The sequence below is a fragment of the Homo sapiens genome, chromosome 1, assembly GCF_000001405.40.
Source record: "Homo sapiens chromosome 1, GRCh38.p14 Primary Assembly".
NCBI classification, from domain to species: Eukaryota; Metazoa; Chordata; class Mammalia; order Primates; family Hominidae; genus Homo; species Homo sapiens.
In genome coordinates this window covers 196,474,234-196,501,656 of record NC_000001.11, presented here as the reverse complement: position 1 = coordinate 196,501,656, position 27,423 = coordinate 196,474,234, and the positions used below count along the sequence as shown (strand labels likewise).

General features: G+C 33.8%; 1 protein-coding gene across 13 annotated transcripts in view; it reads left to right on the top strand.

Annotated features, from left to right (window-relative positions):
* Positions 1–27,423, top strand: part of KCNT2 (potassium sodium-activated channel subfamily T member 2) — a 382,662-nt gene that overhangs the window by 106,784 nt on the left and 248,455 nt on the right. For all 13 annotated transcript variants that reach the window (NR_146057.2, NR_146058.2, XR_001737149.3 and 10 more), the window contains exons 2-5: positions 9,316–9,395; positions 11,720–11,819; positions 19,278–19,326; positions 22,419–22,478. Coding sequence is in view for 9 of the 13 variants with exons in the window: in NM_001287820.3 (NP_001274749.1) it covers positions 9,316–9,395; positions 11,720–11,819; positions 19,278–19,326; positions 22,419–22,478 (289 nt within the window). In the remaining 4 variants the exon portion in view is untranslated. The remainder of the gene's footprint in view (positions 1–9,315; positions 9,396–11,719; positions 11,820–19,277; positions 19,327–22,418; positions 22,479–27,423) is intronic.

Genomic DNA, 27,423 nt, shown 5'->3' with positions numbered 1-27,423 from the left:
GAATAGTGAACATTGTACCCATTAGATAATGTTTCAATCCTTACCTCCATCCCACCTGCCCACCTTTTGAAGTCTTCGATTTCTTGTTTTTCATTCTGTATGTCCATGTGTACCCATTGTTTAGCTCCCACTTATAAGTGAGGATATGCAATATATGACTTTCTGTTTCTAGGTTATTTTGCTTAGAATAATGGCCTACAGTTCCATTCATGTTGCTGAAAAAGATATTATTTCATTATTTTTCTTTTTTTATACCCAAACAGTATTCCATTGTGTGTGTATGTGTGTTTGTGTGTGTATCTATATCTACCCCACATTTTCTTTATCCAGTCATCCATTAAGTATACACTTAAGTTCATTCCATATCTTTGCTATTGGTAGTAGTGCTGCAATAAAAATACAAGTACTTGTATCTTTTTGATATAATAAATGACTTCTTTCCCTTTGGGTACATACCCAGAAGTTGGATTGCTGAATTGAATGGTAGTTTGATTTTCAGTTCTTTGCAAAATCTCCATACTGTTTACCATAGAGATTGTACTAACTTACATTCCTCCCAGTGGTGTATAAGTGCACCGTTTTCTCTGCAAACTTTCCAACATCTGTTGTTTTTTGACTTTTTATAGTAGCCATTCTTACTGGTATAAGGTGGTATCTCATTGTGATTTTAATTTGCATTTCTCTGATGATTAGCATTGTTGAGCATGGTGGCATATGTTTGTGGCTGCATACATTTGTATGCCTTCTTTTGAAAAATGTCTGTTCATATCCTTTGCACACTTTTTAAGGAGTTTATATTTTTTTCTTGTTGAGTTGTTTGAGTTCATTGTAGATTCTGGATATTAGCCCTTTGTTGGATGCATAGTTTGCAAATATTTTCTGGCATTCTGTATATTGTCTATTTACTCTGTTTGTTTCCTTTGGTGTACAGAAGAGTTTTCGTTTAATTAATTCCTATTTGTCTATGTGTGTTTTTGTTGTGTTTGACAAGCCTTCATTTGTTGGTTATCAGAAACTAAGTATGAATATTTGGAAATGGATAGGAATCTGGTTTAGAGTCAATAATCACAGGGCAGACCTTAACAAACATGTCCCACTATTTATGGGGATAGCCCACTATTTGTGGGTGGATCTGTTATTTACAATGTTCTTTTATAATATTTTACAAATGTTCTAGAATTCTCCTACTACCAATAAATTCTCAACTTGCTAAGAAGGCAAGAAGCAAGAAAAAGAATAGAAAGACCAATGTTCCAACTCTGTCCCCATCCTAGCTGTATGAATTTGGGCCAGTCACTAAAATTATTTGAATGAACGTTTCTTTTTCTTTCTTTCCCTCCCTCCCTCCCTCCCTCCCTCCCTCCCTCCCTCCCTCCCTTCCTTCCTTCCTTCCTTCCTTCCTTTTTCTTTCTTTCTCTCTCTCTCTCTCTCCGTCTCTCTCTCTCTCTCTCCCCCTCCTTCCCTCCCTCCCTTCCTTCCTTTCTTCCTTTATTCCTTCTTTCCTCCCTTTTTTTTGATGGAGTCTCACTCTATCACCCAGGCTGGAGTGCAGTTGTGCAATCTCAGCTCACTGCAATCTCCACCTCCCAAGTTCAAGTGATTCTTCTGCCTCTGTCTCCCAAGTAGCTGGGATTACAGGCATGCACCAGCACACCCAGCTAATTTTTGTATTTTTAGTAGAGATGGGGTTTCACCATTTTAGCCAGGCTGGTCTAGAACTCCTGACCTCAGGTGATCCACCTGCCTCGGCCTTCCAAAGTGCTGGGATTACAGACATGAGCCACCACTTCTGGCCCAAAGTTTCTTTTTCTATAAAGTTGATATCTATGTTACTCAAGTAAAAATCAAATAAATTAATAATAGTATACTTTATAAACATTTATTAAAATCATAGACAGCTAAAGGTACAAATAAATAAAATCTAAATTCATAACCTATTTACAAAATCTGTGGGGAAATGACATTAATCATAAGGTAGATTAAGTTGGAATAAGAAAGAATTTCCAAGGATTCACCTCACCATAAACCCGAGTTTTGCATCCTCAGATGTTATAACATAAGGAAGAAAAGTAAGATGATTTTATCTCTCCTACCATACTATTAGTTCAGAGTCCTCATGGTTTGTACCAAAGAAAAAATTGGCTACCACATTATGCCTTCATTCAGGAATTTATCTCTTAATCTTTAATGTCCAGTAGGTCCTAACTAATATGTGGGATGCTCATGATATAAGCATGGACAAAACTCAATATGGCCCTTGCCCTTATGGAGTTTACATTCTAATGAATGAACGTGGTATGACTGAGAACTGGTGTTGTCACCATTATAGAAAAAGACTGTATTTAGGACTGCCACAATGAAGCACCACAAACTTGGTGCTTGAAAACAATAGAAGTTTATTGACTGACAGTAATGGAGGCCAGAAATTTGAACATAGGGTGTAGGCAGGGCCTTGCGCTTTACTAATGCTCTAGGAGAGGATCTTTCCTTGTCTTTTCCAGGTTCTAGTAGTCCCAGGTGTTCCTTGAGTTTTGAAAGTATAACTCAATCTCTGCCTTTGTCTTCATATGACCATCTTCCTTCTGCATATGTGTCTGTGTGCAAATTTTTCTTTTCTTATAAAGACATCTGTCATATTTGATTAAGGGCTCACCCTATTATAGTATACCCTCATATTAATTTAACTAATTATATCTGCAATGACCTCATTCCCAAATAAGTTTGAATTCTGAGGTCATGAGAGCTAGGACTTTTTCTTTTAGGGGGACATAATTCATTCCATCACAATGACCTTAGAAAAAATAGGAGTAAACTGAGAATAATGTGATACATTTGGAAAGGTATAATTTTTATTTTTGTTAGTAGTGAAAACAGAGTGAGATAACCTTGGCAGTATGCTTTCTCCTTACTGATCAAAGTCAGATCACCAAACACGGAATTAGCAGGATGCCACAATCTAGAAGCACAGAAATAACTCCAGCTGAAAAGTTCTTAGAAATGCAAGTTGTACTGGGAGCTATGTATATTAACTCACCATTCAGATGTACATTTTCCAAAGGACAATGAACATCAAATAAATAGAGGACAAGACTTCTGTGCATCCATTGAATCTGCCTGCTGAGACCAGAAGGTCCAGGCAGATAATCCCTTGTTTGAGATGAGTACAGTAATAAAAATCTTATATATGGACTCCATGACCAATATTGCAGAATTAGAAGAAAGAGGGAGGGAAAAAGCACTTGGTAGTAAGAAGTAGACACAGAGGAAGAACCTTCCTCTGATAGTGATCTATGTCTACTGTAAGATTTAAAAGAGACTATCCACAAAAGTTTGATATCCTAAATAGGTATCAAGGCACTGGCACTAGAAAAAAGCAAACTAGTGTTTCTGAAAGAATGGTGCATTGACAGCCTGGATCAGAATTATTTTTCCTGTTATTAAAATGACGAGGCCTGATTTAAATTTATTGAATAAGAATTTTAAGAGTGAATCAGGAAAATTGCATTTTAACAAGATTCCGGGTAAATTTTACATTGAACTCAAGTACCAGAACAAAAGAATAAAAGGAAAATGAAAAAAAAGTATCAAATTAAAATCAACATTAAGGTAGTTGATATCATTAGGAAAAATTGATGACAGTTGCAAAAAACATCTCTGCAGTATCTAAATTGTTTCAGACCATAGAAAAATCTGGAGTTGTTCAATTCATATTCGAAGATACTAGAATAATCTAAAAAAGACATCACATCATTATTACTGTAGAAGAAAAACTCCTGAAAAAGTATAGGAAAATGAATCCAACAGTAAATTACCTGAATAGTTTACCGTCACAAAGACAACTTATTCCAGGATAGACAAAAACAATTGCATCATAGGAAAACTGTTGAAGTAATTCACCAAATCAGTACATGAAAAGGAACAATATACTATTAACTTGATAGGTTCGATATAGGTTTTTTTTAATAACAATCAATACCCATCCATTACTGATATAATTTTTAGTAAAGTGTAAATATTTAAGCAATCCCAATATCAACAAAATACAATTGTTCCTCAGTAATCATGGGGATTGGTTCCAGGACTTCTGTGGATACCAAAATCCACAATGCTCAAGTGCCTCATATAAAATGGCATAAGATTTGCATAATAATCTATGTACAGCCTCCATTATACTTTACATTATCTCTAGATTACTTATAATACCTAATAAAATATAAAAGTTATGTAAATAGTTGGTATACTGTATTGCCTAAAGAATAATGACAAGAAAAACAGATCTGTATCATTAGGAAAATTAGGAGGGAAATAGCACTTAGTAGTACCTAAGTACTACTAAATACCTAATAAAACATGAAAGTTATGTAAATAGCTGTTATATTGTATTGTCTAGGGAATAATGACAAGAAAAACAAGTCTGTACATGTTTAGTACAGATGTTGTTTTTTGTTCTTCCCAAATATTTCCTATCTGCAACTAGTTGAATACATAGATGTGGAACTTAATGGATACAAAGGGCCAAGTGTAATTAATTGCTGCTAAAACACTAGAGGCATCCTCTTATAAGAAAGGGACAACACAATTATTTGACTTTTTTCCCCCCAAAAGTGCTAGTCAATGTAGTAAGGCATAAACAATGAAATGTAAATGCAGTAGTTCCTTAAATAATGCCATTTCATTCAACATTGTTTTGTTATAATATTGTTGAGAAAAAAAATCTATTGCTGATTGGGGTGACTGTCTGTGTGCAGTTTGCACATTCTGTCCATGTCTGCGTGGGTTTTCTTCAGTTACTGCAGTTTCCTCCCATATGCCAAACGTGCAAGTTAGGTGAATTCGTGTGTCTAAATGATCGTAGCATGAGTATTGATGTTTGAGTGTGTCTTGCAATGTGATGGCGTCCCGTCCAGGTGGGATCCTGCCTGGCCCCTTGAGCTGCTAGGATGGGCTCTGGCCACCTACCACCCTGAACTGGAACAAGTGGGTAAATAACCTTGCTTGTTTTCACTAATCTTTCTTGAATGTATGTATAGCTCATATTTATTTCGACATTTAATATCAAAAGTATTTTGGTTTTTATTTAGAAGTTTGGTGACATTTTTGTGGCCAGTAGAAACCTAACTCTTGTTTACATCAATTAGCCTATGGTGAAATTGGATTTGTTATCTATCATTTCTTTTTTTTTTTTTTTTGAGACAGAGTCTTGCTCTGTCGCCCAGGCTGGAGTGCAGTGGCACGATCTCGGCTCACTGCAACCTCTGCCTCTCAGGTTCACGCCATTCTCCTTCCGCAGCCTCCAGAGTAGCTGGGACTGCAGGTGCCCACCACCATGCCCGGCTAATTTTTTGTATTTTAGTAGAGCTGGGGTTTCACCATGTTAGCCAGGATGGTCTCGATCTCCTGACCTCGTGATCCACCCGCCTCGGCCTCCCAAATTGCTGGGATTACAGGTGTGAGCCACCGTGCCTGGCCTATCTATCATTTCTCTTAAAGTCGCAAAGAAGCTATGGATGACATTAAGTGAGGTCTTACTGTAGAAATATTAAAGAACATGTCCATAACTGTCTGTCTAGCAAACCCAAGTAATAAATGTGAAAAAAAAATCACATGTAAGAGAGGTCAACATGGCAGCTATTTCCAATATCAAAACCAAAAAGTTAAAGATTGGAATAAAACAATTTAAAAGGCAACCAAAATTATAAAATAGCCAGAAATAAGTGTCACAAAGAATATATAACATTTACCCAAATAAAATGTTGTTGATCAACATAAAAATAACTATTAAATAGCAAGAACATATTTCAATAGAAGGTACCACCTAATAATGATTGGAATTCCAGTATCTTTTTAAATCAAATAAAATTGCTATTATGGTATTTGAATAAATGTAACAAAATTACTTTAAATTTTAACTTTTGTATAAGCCTTTGACAAAAATGACATCTTAAAAAGTGATGAGAGCAGATTTGCCATAAATCAAAACTCTGTGGTTCTGGGGAAGGTCCAGAAAGAGTACACTAACTTAGTGTAAGAGTACACGAAAGATTACACTAACATAGTCTACTAGATGTAAGTAAATTCAGATAAAGTTAGATGGAGGTAGGGAGGTCAGAAGAAAAGAAGGAAGAGAGGGAGGCAAGATTAAAGGAAGGAAAGGAGGGAGGAAGGAATGGAGGGAGGAGATGAAACCAGTTTAAACTTGAAAAAGGAAGCGGTGAGATTATATTTAAAATAAGTTAAATCATGAAAAACTTTGGGAAGGGTAACCACTAAACTCTGAACTAAATACCTGGGTGCTAAAAAACTGGTGCTGAGGAAGGTCTCAAAAGTACACGCTGTCACTAACATGCCTTGCTGCTAGAAAGAGTTATCATTAAATCAAATTAAAAAAAAAAAAGCTCTACTTTATACTGTAACCAGTAAGCCTAAAGGACATTTTCTGTGCCCAGTATAAGTCATGTATCAAAAAACATTTTGCTTGCATTTTGGCTTTAAATAAAAGTTGTATAATTTCATGTTTTAATATAATCCATGTTTCTCAATGATTATATTGACTCAGAGAGATCGCCAGATTCATTAAGAGTTTTACTTCACATAATTTGATAATTAGATTGGGATTAGGAAATTATTTAATGAGAGACTTCACACCATGCAAAATTGCCTTTGCTCTCAGGAAAAAAAAAAAAGCCAGTGGCTCGCATGCTGTTGTCCAGCCTTTGGCACATTTATAGGTATTGGAGAGCTCTCCACATTGATGGCCATTTCAAAGTTGGATAATTCTCATTCGTAATTCGTGCATTTATCTAATATTCTATTTAATAGAGAATCACATTATGTGTCATTCCATTTTAATAATGTTGGTAACTGAAATATTTAAAGACAACGGTGACTCCTAACTCTTCATAATTACGAATTCTTTCTAGTTTCGCCTACCTTTTCCATATGTGGTATGTTTTCCAGATTCCTCATTATTTTTGTTAAGGCTTTAGATGATCTCATTTCAGTTAAAAAATGCTCCTCTGCGCCTGTAATCCCGGCACTTTGGGAGGCTGAGGTGGGCGGATCACGAGGTCAGGAAATTGAGACCATCCTGACTAACACGGCATGGTGGCTGGCGCCTGTAGTCCCGGCTACTGGAGAGGCTGAGGAGAAGAATGGCGTGAACCCGGGAGGTGGAGCTTGCAGTGAGCTGAGATCGCGCCACTGCACTCCAGCCTGGGCGACAGAGCCAGACTCCGTCACCAAAAAACAACAAAAAAAGGCTCCTCTGTTACATACCCAGTACTGAACTCCAATATTATCTGAAAAATGGACTCATTCTTATAAATTTGGTAATTCTAGGAAGCAAATCTGCATGGCCTTTGCTGAATTATTTGTGTAATAGCCGTATTGTCCTCTCAAATTTGTTTATGTAGCCATAACAAATTTCAACTAGTTTAGCTTTATCTCACTATTTACAGTTACTATATTTAAAATGAACTGACTTTTCATTTGATAAACAAGGGAAACACGTCCAATAATGCATTTCCAAGACACCGATGAAGTTTTGTTTCTGTATGTGTGTGCATGGACTTTTGTAGTATGTATATGTACGTAGATGTGTAGGGTGTGCACATGTGCATGGGCATACAGATGGAAATGTTCTGCTAAAAGATATCATTGCCATTTTAGTGGCTTCTTTAGAACTTCTAGAGAACTTTTCCAACTTCTAGTCTGGAGAAGGTATTAACTAAAGAGAATCTTGCTTACTTTAAAACAATTTCATTTAATATATAAGGTGAAGAAAAAACAAAGTAAGTCAGAATATGATAACGAGGAAATAAAAATAGAAATATATTCTTTAGAGAGAAGATATAAAAGAACATTCAAGTATTTTAGAAGATACAACACATACAGCTTGATTCGTAATTAATTTTAAAAATGCCCTGTTGAGGGTAACATCACACAATGGGGCCTGGGGAAGGGATAGCATTAGGAGAAATACCTAATGTAGATGACAGATTGATGGATGCAGCAAACCATACACATGGCATGTGTATACCCATGTAACAAACCTGCACGTTCTGCACATGTATCTCAGAACTTAAAGTATAATAAAATTAAAAAAAATGCCCTGTTGCTTTTGTGACACAATAAACTGCTTTAAAACTATTCATGGTTTTCCTTGAATAAACAGGGTAGTAGAGGGTTTATGAGATAATATAGTAGTGAACTATTTCTCAAATGCATGAGCAGCTTTGTAATGTCAGTTGTTTTTTTTTTCTCCTAGTTTTCTCTAAGGTATCTACTCTTGCAAAAAAAACAAAACCAAAAATCTCCCCCCCAAAAAAAAGACCCCCAAACCTTATCTGGCTTACATGAATTACATTTTCAAAATGTTACCATATTAGGAAAAATGAAATTAAATATTTGTTTTTGCGTAAACATTAAAATCCATTCTTAGCTGTTTTTGAAATTCTAACTCATAATGAATATATTTGAGACTGATTAAGGAAATTGAGTATTATTTACAAGTTACCTTGCACTGAACAAGATTTCTCTTTTCACTTAGTATTTTGAAAATATTAATTGTGCCTTATCAAAGGGAGACTGTTTGCTAGAATTTAGAGTATTTATTAAAGTACTGCTATTATTTTAGACTGTTGATATTATTGTATAGTGGATCAAATATACAATATGTAGTCTATTAATTGAGTTGTTTGCTTTATAATCTATCTGTGGTAACCTTAACAGTTCTATTTGCCACTGCTACTTCTTGGTTGATCCATAAGTAGGAAGGTAAAGTGTTACAGAGTGTGGTGTCCTAAATAGGCTATAGGTGTAGTGAAGAATTGATTATTAGGCCCTGCCCTTTAAAATTCTGAATAAGTAGATCTGGCACGGTGGTGCCCAGACTGAATTTTTCAAACGTCAGTTAATTCTTACAGCAGGGAAAAAAATGGGGAAAGCACTGATTCAAACCCATTTCAAACACACATATTAAAGACTTTTGCATTATTGCTGTTTTGAATAATCCATGCCACTCATTATATTCATTAATACAAATAATTGAATTGACTATGTATAATATTTAAAATGATTCTATCTTTAAAAGTAGAAAATAATTGCTTCTCTCTAAATCAGTACTTTACTCAGTTCTCATTTTCCATGGCAGGGAATTTACTAAAATACATAATGCATTAAATCAAATAATTTATTTCAAAAATGTATTATTCTTTAAGTTAGAGAACTACAGATCAATTTATATTTGTTGATCTTCATGAAAATAAAGATATGGTTGCTTGCATACATTTACATGTTTTTATTTTCTGTTTGCAGGGTACAAGTTGAATTCTATATGAATGAAAATACATTTAAAGAAAGACTAAAATTATTTTTCATAAAAAACCAGAGATCAAGTAAGTTATTCATTTCATTCCCCTCTGTTCGTACATATATTTACTTCAAAATATTTCAACTGTGTGATCTTTTGCAAAATACTTTTTAGATAGAGGAATAAAATTGGTTATTTTTTCCAGCAGGTGGTAGAGGAATAAAATTGGTTATTTTTTCCAGCAGGTGGTAACATTTTAGAAAAGTATAGGCACTACATATAGTGATATTAATGCTTCTTGAACATCTTCAATTCTCCAAATTCCATGTTAATAAGTAGACTTCTGAGTGGACTATCTGGATTAGTATAAACATTGAGGAAAATAATTTAAATGAGGGTCCTTCCATTTTAACTCTAAATATCGTATTTTCAAAAAGCTCTGACAGACCACAATGGGAAACAATTGTCTGATTTAGGGAAGGGAACGTTTAATATTTCCTAATCATTCCAAATAATAAGAAACATCTAGGTTGCACTGAAATATACAGATTCCTATCTTTCTTAGCCTAGAGATTTTGAGCCAGGAAGTGTAGGGTAGATCTCAGAGTTTAACATCCCAGTGATTCCTATCATCAGACAAATGTAAGAAAGTAACAAAGTAGAACTTCAAGAATACAAAATTGGCATAGTAACTGTCCTCCTGAGCCTATTCAAGGTTAGGAGTGCCGCTGATGCTTGTTGCTTCCCACAATGCCATATATGTTTAAAAAGCCATATGTAATAAACCAATATGCAATTTTTTTTATGGTCATTGCTTACAATGTCACAGGGAATGGAGAGGCCTGCATTAGTTGGTGTAGACATTAAGCTCTGTGAATTTTAACCTCCAAATCCTCTTGTCAAAATTAAGTTGTGCCTCTGTAGGTAGGATTCAAAGAGAGAAGCTTGACTTGTGGGAAGTTGTCCAAATACTGATGATATGGAATATTTCAATATTTAAGTCATACTGCTCAGATAGTCTTAATGACAGGCTGGCCTCAAGGTTAAGACTGTTAGCAACTAATGTTTTTCTAACATGGTTGTTCAGAATATCCAAGGAAGCCCCATAAATAGATATTACCTAAAGGGGTCACATCATCTGAATAGTTTCCCTTATTTCAGTACTAACAGTCCTATCTTTCCAGGCCAAAAAAGGTGGATGCATTGTTTGAATACTTCACCCATAGTCAGCTGCAACTAAGCAGTTATTTGAGGAGGCCCATTTCTATAAAACCAGCATAATTTCTTTAATAATTTGAAAGATTTTTTAAGGAAGTGAACCCATAAAATGTATTCAGCATTTTAATTGGAAAACCTTGGAAAAATTTCACAAATGATAAGCATCGACCTTTTTACTGGTAAGAACTGTTACCACAAGTACACTCACAACAGCAGAGTAGGACAAAAAAAGTGACATTTCATTTCTAGATTTTATTAAGTAATAATTATAGGAAGGCCTTTATCAAAATTTTATTCATAATGCATGAATCAGATATCGTAAAGTAATTACAGGAAAGATAATGCTCATATTAATCAGACTTTATGCATATTGTGCTTAATCTTAAATACTCTTCATCATCATTGAATATTACAGGCTGCATAATTGTGACCCACACAGTTTAGAAGATACATACATGGCAGTTTTAATTCCCACAAAAGTTTAAGATTCCATGGGTATTTTAAATAGTTAAAAATAGAATTTAATTTATTGAACTTTAAACGTATGTGTGTGTATGTGAGAGAAATGGAGAGATTGATCGTGTGTGTGTTTCTCAGTGTATGCTATTAAGATTTCTCTATACTTATATAATATATATTATTATATAATGAATAAATAATATATATAATTATATAATTGGAATGTATTATAATTATATAGTTAATATTAAATATACAACATAGAACTATACAAATATAATTAATTTCTTTATAATCAAATCTACAAGATTCTGTGAAGGTATAAGTTTTATAACTTGGCTTGTGAATTTGTAAGCAGCTAGATTTTCTAGCCAAAGTTTATCCCAAAATTTATGGATGTATAAAATGCTTAAACATATAAACATACTTTAATCAACCTCGATTGGACACAAATTTTGTGGCTTCTGAATGTTCAAATCTAGATTTAGTCTTTTTATAAAATATGCACTCTCATTTGCAGTTCAAGTATTCTGTCAAACTCACTTTTTGTTTCAATATTCAGGTAATTAAAATTCAGCCACCAAGAACTTCAGAGAGTTTAGACAATTATAGTAGTGCAGCTTCTAAATACAATTTAAGTGCTGTATTTAAATTTGATATTTTTGACAATTCTTTTTAGTCTTTTGTGAACTAAGTTCAGATGAAAATCAAACTTTTATCATTTGTTTAAAGGTCTAAGGATACGCCTGTTCAATTTTTCTCTCAAATTACTAAGCTGCTTATTATACATAATCCGAGTACTACTAGAAAACCCTTCACAAGGAAATGAATGGTAAGGTACCTTTTTCTGACCTTCAACAATATTATTTTGATTATTTTGAGTTGTATCACATTTTAAATTTAAAGCATGTTGTGTAGAGCTTAATTTTTAAGGGTATTTTAGGTGTTTGTCACAAATAAAATTGATCGATTTACAGGCACTACATAATTCTTGTAGGTTCTTTGTAAGTATCTTTTATTATTTTTCTGTTTGTCTGATGCTAATATTGGACTGTTAGGCATAAAATTTTATTGCTAGCCAAAGTGCATTAAGTAGTTTTTGTTTTAAAATGGGTAAGTCTCTTTAAAGACCCGAATGCAATTTTGTTCTTGATTTTCAGATACTCCCAAAAGATAATATGAAGCTTCCTATTTAACATTGTAATCTCCTCATAAGACTCCCTTAATAGTTTTCTTCTTTTTCTTTTTTTTTCTCTAGAGACTGTTTCTCTTTTACATATTCTACCTAATTTTAGTCATTTATTTTGTTTTCTGTGGTATTCCATGAATACTAGAGAGGATATTCCATGACAGCAAGGATCTTTGCCTGAATCCCCAGAGCCTGGCACAAAGTGGCAAACAATAGTTATTTGTTAAATGAATGAATGGATACATGAGTAAAAGAAGTTCCTTAGTAATCTAACTTTTGCCTACTCTACCTCATCAGCCCCCTACTCCAGCTATGCTGAACTGCTTGAAGTAGCTTATGCACCTTTGATCTCCCTTCCTCTGGGGCTTTTAACATTCTTCTCCCTCTTCTGGGAAATTAAGTTTCCTGCTCCTCACAACCCACACTTTTTTGACTTGCTTCTGGACTCCAGGACCTTCAGGAAAACAACTTTATGGATAACAGTTAATCTAAAATCCTTATGGGTATTGTGCCTTGTAGCCCAGTTCCACTCTGGCTTAGGAGTATCTTCTGGGTGCTCTCCCACATACTTCTCTCACAACAGCCAAAGCATTGCCCTTGATTTTACCATTCACTTATCAGTCCTTTCTATATGCTCACCAAGGGCAAGAACCATGCTGTGTTTTCCTCCATAGCTCTCACACTAAGCATAGGACTTGGTAGGTCAGTGAATGCTGCTGAATTAATGAAATGATGCTCAGCAATTTTATTGATAGTGTGTTGCACAATAAAAATGATTGAGGACTACTGCCTGGAGATGTCAGTGTTATTAAAATGGTTCATGTAACAAATTATTCTACAATCATATCAGCATTATTTTTAAAATGTGGTGATTTATAAATAAAAAGTACACTAGTGGGACCTGAAAATCATAAAATGAAGCATGATGGAATCCTTCTAAGGGTAAAAGGGCATTTGGTGGGTGTTAGCAGAGTAAAATTATATTATTTGAAAACATTAAGAGGAACAAAGTTTCCTACAATTAACTTCTATGTAATATCACTAAGAATGTTTGGCCATAATTGTAGAGGATATACATTTGAAAAATCAGATTACAGTAATTAAAAAATATTTATGGTTCCATTTTGAATACAATGTTCTGTTTAGCTCCCATGGTTAGTGCAGTATTGGTTAATGAAAAACAGAAGTCGCCTTTATGGGTGCAGGCTCTATTTTAAAATAATGAGGCTAATTAAGCAAAGAGATTTATTTAATTAGAGCTTCTGACATGATAAGTCTGCAGATATTTTGTGCTGCTTTGCTTTATTTTTAAATCCCTTTCAGGAATCAAAACTGATACGAAAACATTATAATATGGGAAAACTGAATAATATGAAAAGAATTTTACTGTTAATATACCATGTGTGAATGGTAAACTGTGATGTACAGATAATGTGTAGTAAATGATTTAAAGATGTTAGGAAAGGAAGCACACCTGAAGCATGTAGTTTATAAATTACACTGAAAGATGAGCCATCAGCATTAACTCATTGCCTGCTGATGCTTACAGTTCATCACTGTGTCCAAACTCATGCATCTGCATCTACTTTAAAAATTGTTCAAATGATTATTAGTTTTTAACATCAAGTGATAGAGACACAGGTAAGAAGCACATGAACATGCTTCTATTTTATGGTATTTGGATTCCATTTAAAATCAATGCCTAATATAGCAAATGGTGTGTTTAAGTGAAATTCAAATTTTAAATACGATTTCTTCCTCAGGGTAACAACTATTAAAGGAAGAAAACAGAATTTTTACAATAGCTCTTAAATATTTGATGATCAATAGGAATGAGTATTTTAATGCAGACCTTTTCTTCTTTTTTGTATATTGATTATTTTTTAGATTGAAGTAGGACTAAGTTCTCTAACAAATCTCAAAAATTTAAAAGCATTTTTTTGTTTACTGGAGTCTAATACTGGTGTTTCTGGTCATTGTGAACCTTTTCTCCATATAATGATTCACATACACAAACATACACACACAGACACAGACACATACATACACACACACACACACACACACACACTCCATAACATGGTAGGTACTATATGTACAAGCCCACTGCATTTTGTGATTATGTGTTGTCCTAAGACCGGAATCTTTGCATCCTGATTTCAGAAAGAGAAAGAGAGCTTGGAGAAGGCATATATGTTTTTAAAAATTATTGGCCAACAAATGACAAACATCACTTTTGCTTGTACTTCATACTCAGGTCTCACATGAGAACCAGTTATATCATCATACCTTGACACAAAGACTGAGAAATGTAGTTGACTGAAGAGTGACTTTTTTGCACTCGACTCTATGCCGTGGAAGGGGGAGAATGAATGTTAATTAAAGAGCCAACTCTGTGACAGCTAACGTTGTCTGGTGGAAGGGCCCTTAATGTCCATTCTTTCAAAGAGTTAGTTATCAGTCTTCTCCGTAACATCCTTGATAGTTGGTTGTCTAACCTGGGATTAAATGTTTCCAATATTTTGAAAGGATTCAAATACCGAAAAGTCTTTCTAACATATTGGCAAGACTCATATGCTTTCATATTTTGGTCACCTAGTTTTTGGATGTGTATTAAATATTTTATGTTCGTCTTGAAATGTGGGCTTAGTATCATATCTAGTATTCAGATTTTAGTGTATATTATGGTCAGGGGGGTTGTATAATTTACCCTCCTGTTTTATTTATTATTTGTTAATACATTACAAGCTTATATTAGGGTTTTTTTTTAGAGCTACCAGTCTTTGAGTTCATCTTGGGTTTGTGAGCAACATATCCTTTCATATGAATTATGTCCTGCATGTTAACCCTATTACTTTCAAATGCTTTGTTCTTCTGCTAAATGTATTCACCTCCTGACTCCCACCTCCTCTGCCAAAGCTGTTCTCACACTTTTACCCTCTATTTTCCTACTTTTAAGACAGTTCATAAGTGTTCTGGGAAAAGTGGCTGAGGCCACATTACTAAGTTCCTATATTTAACTTTTGCTTTTCCTTCTATTGTTTGGTATGGTTCCTTTAGTTTTCACAATAATGCTTCATACATGAATTTTATCAACAGGACAGTCTAATTCAGAATAACTAAATGATATATATTTGGGTTTTGCTTTGCATTTTTTTATTTAATTTTTTATATTTTGGAAAGGGAAATTTGTTTATTATTTAAAAATGTTTCATGCATATTACAATATAGATATATATGGCAAGGAAGTAAAAATTATCTGAGATCACAACACCTAGAATAAATACTTTTAGCATTTTTAAAGACTCCATTTACAAATTCTCTCTATACACAGACATATAGATAACATATACATACTGGTATGACCTAAAGTAATATTTTAATGACTTTTTCCTCATTTGTAATGTTTTTGTTGTTTTACTTGATGATGATGCATCTGCTACTTAAATTCTCTTCTTATTAGGTATTCAGGTAGATTCCAGTTACTCTCCTGCTGTAAATAATACTGAAATAAATATTATTGTGCATGTTTTCTTTCCTCCTAGTGTTTTTTTTATCAATGAGATTAAATTTTCATTTGAAATTATAATTTGGCTGTCAGCTTTGGTTTCACTCCTCATTTTGGAGGTTATCTACGAATGTGCAGATTAGATCCCACATTCTTTTTTTTTATGATAAATTCATTTTATGAAGGAGGGTTTGAACACTAGTTTTTACCAAAATATATACATTTCCTTCTATGTATTTATCCAACTTAATGTTAAGGAAACTGGTAAAAGTATGTCTTTCCATTGGAGATCTCTTTGAAATTTATATATGAGATTTGTAGGACTTTTTTTTTTATGGATTCTGAAGCCTATTTCACAAGACATAGTCTAGACTGGGAAATAAGTATGTCTTTTTTAAAACTCTTATTTAAATTCTTTATGACATTTCAATTGCCTACCAATATCACAGACCAAAGAAAATGCCATTAGTTTGACGTAAGCAGATTTCTTTTGGAATTTTAAAAATACGAAGTTGATTGTATTACAAATTTCAGATATACACATTAGAAAATTATTTCTTTTGGACCCTTTAGGAAAGTATTAATTTCACCAAATCTGCTATACTGGCAGTGTAAAAGTCTTAAACTAACTTTATTATTATTTTTGTCCATTTTCCTTCCCCTCGCCCCCCAATCCCCAACAGGCCTTGGTATGTGTTGTTCCCCTCCCTGTGTCCATGTGATCTCATTGTTCAATGTCTACCGATGAGTGAGAATATGTGGTGTTTGGTTTTCTGTTCCTATGTTAGTTTGCTGAGGATGATGCCTTCCACCTTCATCCATGTCCCTAAAAAGGACCTGATCTCATTCCTTTTTATGACTGCATAATATTCCATGATGTGTATGTACCACATTTTTTTATCCAGTCTATCATTGATAGGCATTCTGGTTGGTTCCATGACTTTGCCATTTTAAATAGTGCTGCAATAAATATAAGTGTGCTTGTGTCTTTAGAGTAGAATGATTTATACTCCTTTGGTTATATACCCAGTAATGGGATTGCTGGGTCAAATGGTATTTCTGGTTCTAGCTCCTTGAGGAATCGCCGTACTGTTTTTGACAATGGTTGAACTAATTTACATTCTCACCAACAGTGTAAAAGCGTTCCTAATTCTCCAGCATCTATTGTTTCTTGACTTTTTAAAAAGGATCTCCTATTCAATAAATGGTGCTGGGAAAACTGGCTAGCCATATGCAGAAAACTGAAACTGGACCCCTTCCTTATACCTTATACAAAAATTAACTCAAGATGGGTTAAAGACTTAAATGTAAAACCCAAAACCAGAAAAGCCCTAGAAGAAAACCAAGGCAATACCATTCAGGAGATAGGCATGGGCAAAGACTTCATGACAAAAATGCCAAAAGCAATTGCAACAAAAGCCAAAATTGACAAACAGGATCTTATTAAACTAAAGAGCTTGTGCACATCAAAAGAAACTATAATCAGAGTGAATATCAGGCAACCTACAGAATGGGAGGAAATTTTTTCAATCTACCCATCTGACAAAGGTCTAATATCCATAATTTACAAGGAACTAAAACAAATTTACATGAAAAAAACAACCCCATCAAAAACTGGGCAAAGTTTATGAACATACAATTCTCAAAAAAAAAGACATTTACACAGCCAATGAACATATTGAAAAAAAGCTCAACATCACTGATCAATGGAAAAATGCAAATCAAAATCACAGTGAGATACCATCTCATGCCAGTCAGAATGGCGATTATGAAAGTCAAGCAGATTTTAATAAGTCTATGTTAATTACCAATTTTCTTTGAAAATACGCACTTCTGTTCAGCAACTTATTTTATAATTTTTTCCAGAGATTGCTACCTACTTGACAATATAGTAACTTTTGTGGCACATAGTTTTCCACTTACAAAACTGGGCATCTATCCCTCTTCACTCTGACACACCTTGTTGTGGTCTGATTTCTCAAATGTTACTCAGAATATAAAAATATAAACACTTTAGAAAAGACAGTGATAATGAATCCATAAGTTATACCTTTGACTTAATTGGCACCATTTATCATTGATCATTGGTTACCTAGTTTAATATATGCAGGTACTTAGCAAGGCATTGGGTTTATAATGGTGAGTAAATTAGATAGTTATTTTATCTTATGGAACTTGTAATTGCAAGGATACAGCCATTAAAGAAACACATATACAAATAAATATAAAGTTTCCACTGAGATGAGTGGCAGGAAAGGTGTGATGGGTGACGTGGCCCAAGGGATTAGTTGACAAAGTTGATCAAGTGGAATCCTCAGAGAGGGTTTCCCTGAAACACAGAGGGTTGAGCTGAGACTTCTAGGATGAGAGGACAGAATGTAAAAAGAGCTTGTAGAAGGAAGGAATGAGTCCACTTGAATAAGTCTAAGAATGCCATGTCAACTGTTTTGAACTTTATTCTAACGGAAGTGCAAAGGCAATACACAATAGGGAATAGGGTAATGTGATCTAAAACGCATTTTGAAAGAATCAGTGTATTTGCGACTTGGAGAAAAATGGTAGAAGGCAAAAGAAGGTGCAGTGTTCCCACTGGTAGGTTTTTGCAAGCATCCAATTGTGAAAAATGGTGGCTTAGAATAAGGTGATTGTGGTAGTAGAGACGAAAAGAAGCAGATGAATTCTGCAGATATTTTGTTGTAATGACTGAAAAGGTTTGATGGCTAGTGAATTTAGTATTTACAGATGCAGGAGAAGAAAGTATCTAAAAGGATGCTCAAGTTTTGAGTAGCCAAATAAAATGAGATTTGGCACCGTTTACTTAAATGCGAAAAACTACCATTCACCTGCCTCTCTTCAGGAAAATGTAATTATTTTTATCTTTTCCTGAATAGGGTATATTGCTGTAAGTAACTCCCATTGGAATCAACTGTGTACTAAATGATGTAGACACAGCTAGGTTATAAATTGTGGAAAATTAGAATTAGAGGGATAATAAGTGTTATGATGTTCTTTCCAGAGCATAAGCCTTTTTATCATCAGAAAATATATCATTTTTAGGGAATAAAGATGATTACTCCTTGTCTTGCCCAATATGTTAACCCCAGTCATACTGTTTTCCATGGTATGTTAAATATTTTATAAAACTTCAAGTCTGAAATATAACTGTGTTGTATACTCTGTTACTGATTTTTTTCTGGTTATTTATACTGTTGTATTTATACAGGACATATATATGTCCTGTTACAAATAAGAATATCTTAGAGTTTGTAGAAGACTATTAAATGACTTTTCGGTGTAGAATTATCCAGTAAAGGGTTTAAGGTTATTCTGCCCTGCCATATCATTCTTTAAATAATGTCACATATTTTAATTTATTAACAATGACAAAAAGTGAAATTCAAAAAGTTTTTATCGGAATAGAAATGAATATTAGCAAAAAGAAAACTAAGGCAACAACGTTTTTTCAAATGTTGATTTTGATATTTTGTCTTTTTATGCTAGCATATTTTAATATTTCCAACTTTAACTGAATTTTAAAAGTGAATAGATTTTTCATATTTTAAAAAACTAACTTATTATTATTCTTTTTATAGGTCTCATATCTTTTGGGTGAACAGAAGTCTACCTTTGTGGGGCTTACAGGTTATGTACAATTTTGTTTTATCCCTATATCTCTGGGTTTATTCACATTTCACAGAGAAGTACTATTGGAGAGCTTTTGATGTTCAAAATGAGTTTGTCTTTCTGCCTGATTAATCTTCATGCACATCTTGGACTAACATTTTCATTTCTTTTTTCTTGTTTGTCTGAGCCCTGCATTCTACCTCTTGAGGATTTCGTCGTGATCAGAATTAGATTTTAAAGAGGTTGTGAGAGTTTGGAGAAAACCAAAGTATACTACTGCTTTAAGGCTCCACAAGTTTTCCCAAACTACATTAAGTATTCCTGTTATATGATTCCTTTAAGGTTACTCAAAGCCTATAACTGTGTTTGCTTTTTACCTTGTATTCTTAGTGTCTGGAATATGGTAGAATATCAATAAATAATTATTTAATGAATGAACAAATGAAACAATGACTCATATCACCAATAGTAAGAGCTTAGTTCCTAAGCAATTAATCATGTAAATAAAACCAAAAGTATGCCATAGCATAAAAGGAGTCTTTAAGAAAGGCTAAGAAAATATGACAGAGCACAAGATGTCTGATTTATATTGTTGAGGTGTTCCCTAGAGTCTCCGTTACTTCTTTGTTTTGTTTTGTTTCCTACTGAATTTCATGCCCAGTGAACTTTTTGTAAGTTTCTATCGCCTCTACTTCTGTTTACTTCCTACAGATCCTTTTTATTTTCTGTTGCTTTTAAAAATTACAAATTAATCGGAAGAATAGAATCACCAACATCAGAAAGAATTGGAGATTGGAAGACACTTGAGTCTGGAGGAAAGAGAAAGACTTTAAGACTCACTGCTTAGGAGCAATCTTTAAACTAGTTTATTTATTTATTCATAAAGTTGTATACATTTATGGGGTACAAGTGCAATGTTATTACTTAGCTATTTTGAGTAGTGGTAAAGTCCAGCTTTTCACTATATCCATCACTCAAATAATGTATGTTACACTTACCAGGCAATTTCTCATCATCCACCCTCTTCCTCCCTTCTCACTCTTCCAAGTCTTCAATATCTTTCATTCTACACTCATTCCACATGTCTTTCAAAGTCACGATGATTGTGAAGTCTGTATATTTGTATGTGATAATGAATTACTTTAAGTATGTGTGCATTGTGATCATAACCATGAAATCAAGTTTTTACTATGCCTGGGTGTTTTAAGTTTTGTTAAAGTCAAGTTGTTTTTTACATTTCCTTACTCTGACTTTTGTTGCAATATCATATTAATTCATAAATAACACTGAAAATATTGAAATGTTCATTAAAATGTAGTATTTTAATCTCTGAGCTATCCTTCAATTAAGTGCACATTTAAAATAAATTGTTTTATGAATAGCCATATATTATCTTCAAATATATTTTGATCTATTCAAATTGCTTTTTAAAACAGTGATATTTGAAAATACTAACGATGCTCTTTTTTTTTTTTTTTTTTTTTTTTTTTTTTGAGACGAAGTCTCTCTCTGTCGCCCAGGCTGGAGTGCAGTGGTGCGATCTCGGCTCACTGCAAGCTCCGCCTCCTGGGTTCACGCCATTCTCCTGCCTCAGCCTCCGGAGTAGCTGGGACTACAGGCGCCCGCCACCACGCCCGGCTACTTTTTTTGTATTTTTAGTAGAGACGGGGTTTCACCGTGTTAGCCAGGATGGTCTCGATCTCCTGACCTCGTGATCCGCCCACCTCGGCCTCCCAAAGTGCTGGGATTACAGACGTGAACTACTGCGCCTGGCCGATGTTCATTTTTAAATAGCACTTTGAGTAAAATGTTAAAAATGCTCTAGAGATCATCTAATGCTATGTACTTCTACAAAAAAAGCATGAGTAATTATGATTTAGAGGATTTATGGAGAAAATGAAAGAGATTTGCGTTTTCTATCATAATAATGCCTGGCTACTGCACATACTTCTGAACATATTTTACTTACACTGTTATGCATTTTATCTGTTTTCTTATTGTTCTCCTGTTTTAATATTCTTTTAAATTCAAAGATTTTTATCCCAACAGAAGAAAAAATGTAATCTCCAGGGTATCTGCCGTTCTCATTCGAATAGTCTTAAACCTCAAAAATCTATAAACATATATATTTACCTGAGACACTTTTTGTTTATATTTGCTTATTTGATTCTATTTATCTATCCTAAGGTTGTAGAGTATTTAACACAGAATAATTTTATTATTTTTTCTAGTTACTTTTTGTGGCACAGTAATATATTTTTGGTAGTTAACACTAGAGATGGTGTATACAATAGAGAATATAGAAAAAGATAAAAGGATACGTAGGAAGATAGTACTAACACTTCTATCTGCACAAGGGGAATTGGTTATGAAATTCATTCAAATAAAATCTGAAAGTATTTTGAAGTGGTGGTATGGTCTATTTTATTTAGTACTCAAAGATGTAGCCTTTTTATTTTGTTTCACATGGGTGATAAGATTGAATATACTATTAAACTTGAAGTGTGTGTTATTTCATTTTCTGTATTTTCTGAAGAGAAATACTGATTTTGGTACAGATGGTCATGCTTCTGGGATAGAGTGGTTATCTGTGGTGGACAGTCACATGTGATTTTATGTATTAGAAACACACACACATAGCTGGGTACGGTGGCTCACGCCTGTAATCCCAGCACTTAGGAATGCTGAGTAGGGTGGATTGCTTGAGCCCCGGGGCTTGAGACCAGCCTGGACAACATTGCAAAACCCCATTTCTATTTAAAAAAAATTTTAAAACGAAACACACCCATAAAAGAGCCTGTTCTTTATATATCATGTAAACTGCAGCCAGCCTATTTTAATACCACCTTTACATTTTGAATAATAACTAAAAATGGTTTACTAAGGAGTATTAGAATGTATGAAAACTAAGATGTAGTACAGGAGACAGCAAACTCTGGCCAGCAGCCTGTCATCTGTGTATAGAAGTTAAAGTACCGCCTAATAAGTCCTATTATACACCCATATATGTATACATGCACATATATTTAAATAAAGTTAGTAGTATAGCCAAGAATATATATAATTTAATTGTATTGCGTTTTCTCATTAAGTTACAATTTATCTTTCAGGTTTCAGTGGCATTGATAAGTCTGTTTGAAACAATATTACTTGGTTATCTTAGTTATAAGGTAAGTTATTTTAATTAGCAGTTTCCCGCTGATAGAACACATCTGTAGTATTTACTCAGTATTCCTCTATTTATAGTTCGCACTGGAAGGTAAGGCTGACTCTTCTTGAGCCACTTTGTTTTGAGCCGCTCCAGTAGCTGATAAAAAGCTGTATGAATACGGTAATGTTTTCCTTGATGACTTACAAATGCTTTGCTAGTTCCTATGGGTTTACTTACCCATTATATGCATGCATATAGTGAGACAAGCAAATGGAATGGTTCAACTTTATTGTATTCAACATTGTTTTTTTCTGATTTGTACACAAAATATTGAGAAAGCAAAAACATGTCTCTTAGGAATTATTTTAATAAATTATCTTATTTTTTGATAAAGCTTTGTTTGGCTAACATGATTTAACAAGTATTTATTGAGCTCCTATTTAATGGAGAGCTCTGTAGTTCACATGATTCTTTTTTCAATGAGTTTACAGTCAAGAAAGGGGAGGTTACAGCAGAGCATCATACAGATAATAATAATACAAGCAGCATATAATGGGTAATTCCAGTGAGGTCTAAGAAAGTACTGTGGGGTTTTATAGAGAGAGCTCATATCATGGAATGAAAAGGAAACAGTAGTACTTGAACCATAGTGATTTCAATAAGGCAAGATGAAAAGACAGCACAATAGAGATTGATAAAATTAGCAAAGGCATAAAGGAAGGACTTTGCATGTAAAATTGGAGGAATAATAAATATATTTGTCTAGAACATGGGGGCATTGTATAGCAGCATATATTTTTAAGTTGATGGAAGATGACTAACACAAGATTCTGTAATTGAAATTCAGTTTTAGGAATATTAGTTCAGAATCTCTATGCAGCTCAGGTCAAATAGACATTATGGTGAAGTTCATGTGCTCAGTTAAGATGTGTTGCAGTATGAAAGGAAAACTGACAGTAAGATTTTGGCTGGATGAAAAGATTTACCAGTTTTAATGAAAGATTAATTATGAAGGTAGAAGCTAAAGAAATCAACTGATGGGTTGAGATAGGCGAAGAGAAGGAAATTCATAGCATTCTAATAGCTTCTAAGTTTGAAGGACTGGAAATACTGCAGTAAGACTAAGAAACAATCGTACCAAGAAAGAAGTCATATTGGGATCCACATAGATTAAATAATGGAATTAGTTTTGGAGGTGATGAATTTCAGGTACTGGTGAACACACAGATAAATAAGGTATGCAATTGAGAATGAGAATCTGGAACTTTTGAGAGGGAGATTTATTAAGACTTGACAGTCATTTTCACTATTAAGACCTGATAGTAAAGGAAGCCATGAGAATCTATCATGCATGGGTTAATCACCAGGGTGGAAACTAAGGCTTATGTTGATGGAGATGCTTAAATTCAGGGTTTTGGAGGAATAATAGAACAATCAGGGAAGACAGAGAAGTTAGAAAAGATAGAAAGTCATTGGAGTGGTTGTCATAATCATTACTAATTTTTGTTAATAGCCTTTTCATCTACTCTATCAAGTGTACTCAAGGTTATGTTTTTGGGGAACTCATATCTAGCACATCAATTTCTTTCTCACTTTTTTTTTGGAGGGGGAGGGGAAAGGGTCTCACACTGTCACCCAGGCTGGAGAGCAGTAGCATGATTATGGCTCACTGCAGCTTCAACTCCGCCTGGGTTCAAGCAATTCTCCCTACTCTCTTGACTAGCTGAGACTATACGTGCACACTGCCACCTGGCTAATTTTTTTTGTATTTTTTTGTAGAGACAGGATTTTGCCATGTTGCCCAGGCTGATCTCAAACTCCTTGGGTCAGGTGATCCTCCAACCTCAGCCTCCCAAAGGGCTTGGGTTACAGGCATGAGCCACTGCATCTGTCCCTCTCTCACTTTTTAAAACAAGAGTTTTGAAGATAACATTCTTCAGACTATTATTTAGTTCTAAATTTAGAGCAAGAAGTTTTTACAAACTCACCCTTTTTTCAGGCTCACTTTTTTTTTCTTTTTTAATTCTCATTATTGCCATCTTAAAAAAAACACTAATTTCTAAGAATGTCAGATTGATGAATAAGAAAGTATAGAAAGAAAAGAATGACAGCTTTAAAAAATATAGGTGGATTGATTAAAATTTATGAGAAGACATAGGATGTTAGAAATATCTGAGGAACAAAAAGTATCATATAAAAGCACATTTGCTATGTCAAGTATAAGAAACTTGAGAAAAGGCTATTGAGTTTACAAATTAGGAGGTCATTTGCTATTTGCCTACAATAGGTCAGTTATAATGGAATACAATTGAGTGTCAAAATTGTTAAATGGAGAATGTTGTTTGACTGGGGCAGGTGCTTACTCAAAGCAGTAGGATGAAGCAAGGATGACTGCTTCATGATAAAAAAAAATCTTCATTGTTTAAAAAAGAGAGAAAGTACAAGGCAGGAGTGAAATATTATAGGAAAGTTTATAATAAGTAAGAAGTAAGTAAGCTGGAATAGAAACCTGAGGTTTAATGATTAGTTTTGGAAAGTCTCCATTGTCTTTTGGGAGTGCAGAAGGTGGAAAGTCGTGGATCAATAAGTAAATTAGAGCTAGAGAAGAGAAATGAAAGAGCTTTCACATGGGAGCCACACATCCCTAAATTACCTAGAAAGTACTAAATCAATAATAAGCAATATAGATGAAGATAATGAAGAAGGGTCTTTTAAGGGTGTATTAGTATATCTCCTTGTCAAAATAGGTGCACTATAAATATGTCCTGATTGACAAATCTGGATATTGGGTAACTAGAAAAATAAAACAAAATAAAAAATCAAATAAATTAATATCCCAGTTCTTATCTTTAATGTTCATTAATATACATGCATACATATATATGATAAATGTTGAATGTAATATATAAATAATGGTATGCTTAAAATTTAGGCATGTGTGTTTTGGGGTAAATTAATCCTATCCCTTCCACTAGCACAGGAATATATACAAAACTGTAACATGGCCAAAATATTAATCTGCATTTGAAGATGTATTTGCTCCAACTTCTGGCTAAAATGTAATATGAAATTAAGATTGGTGTTTTGCTAATAGAACTCTTAGCACTAATTTTAAAAGCCATTTAAAAACACATATTGATTCAAGATAATTTTTATTGCAATCATATGATGATGACATTTATAATCAATTATTGCTTATAATTTATAAAATTAGAGCAGAAAATTGTAAGACCTAGCATGCAGAGCTAGATGATATATAATATTTCCATTTCAACCCTCATAAACATTAATGGCTTCGATGGAGGAAATGTAGACAGCAGTTAAGTCCAGTGTGTTACAGAGAAAACAGATAGGATAAATAGGAGTTATGTGACAGTAGAAGGATAGGTTGCTGTTAATTATCTTCTTTTTCCTCTCATCAATATAGTCCAATCTGTGAATCTCTTTGGTCCCTTCAACAGAGTGTTTGATAATTTTTTTAGAATGGGTAAATCAAGTAATTGGTAGTCATTTATGGTCTCTAAATAAAGCATGTTTGGTAGCAGAATTTAAAACATACTCCTTCCTTCAAGTTAGATTTTTTTTTTTTGAGACAAGGTTCTCACTCTGTTGCTCAGGCTGGAGTGCAGTGGCGTGATTGTCTCTACCTCCTAGGAGGTATAGATCCGCTCGCCTCACCCTCCTAAGTGGCTTGGGACTGCAGGTGTGCACCACCACACCCGGCTAATATTTGTATCTTTTTTTAAGAGATGGGGTTTTGCTATGTTGCTTAGGCTGGTTTGGAACTCCTTGGCTCAAGTGATCTGCCTGCCTCCTCAGCCTCCCGAAGTGCTGGGATTATAGGCATGAGCCACCATGCCTGGCTAAGTTAGATTTTTTAAAGAAAAGTAATATACAGACACACAGAAATGGATATTGTATTGCACCAGCAATTGTTTCCACTGCTGATATTATTCTTTGATACTTATAATTCTGAAATAGTAATATTAATAGCAAATCCATATATAACTTTCTTGTATTTGTTTACATATGTATATTTATGGATAGATATGTATGCTTATATGTGTATACATTAAATATTTAAAAATACATTTAATACAGCATTATGCAAGCACTTTATAATTCTTGAAATTAGACATTCTAAAATAAGCATAACTAAATCATTAGCTACTAAAATAGTTTAAACTTTCATTGAGACTGTAGGTTTTGAAAACCAGACCAACTTAAAGCGAAATTACCTAGAACTATTAAAGTACATGTTGAGTTTAGCAGATAATGAATTAGCATCCATGACATGAACTTATTTTGTCTTCTGTCATACAGAAGTGCAGGTCTGTGCTTAAATCATCATTCCATTCATGTTTATAGCTAGTTGGCAAAACAAACATGGTAATCACCCAACACTAAAGTTCTTATTCTTTTGTCATCATAAATACCCTCTAATTCTTTATCAACTGCTTTCAAAATAAAGTTCTATTTATGCACACACATTCGTTAAATCAAAAGGAAACAAAAACAAACTCTGGCACAATTTCCAAACCTCCACACACAAAAATTCATCATACCTAGAACCCTTTTGTTAAATGTGCAATTCTTTTTTTCCATAATCACATTACAAAAAGCAACAATTTTGAAAGTTTAACACCACACTGGTTTATTTCTGGAAAAGAACAAAGAATTTAGTCCAGGACTCCTGAATACCAGATACTGTTGATTCTGCTTATCTTGTTCTGAAAATGGTAAATCTAAATATTGTTGGGTTTATATGTAGAAATACAAAGACTGCCATAGCGTTACGACACTATTTTAAATTCATCCAAAGAAGACAAATTACCAAACCTTTTATTAAATATTTTAAAATACAGGTATTCTTAACATTTAAGAACAAAAAGTATTTACAAAATGTTCCTTGGCTGAATTGGGGCTTGCAACAAATGAACTGCTATAACTAATATAATTTTTAA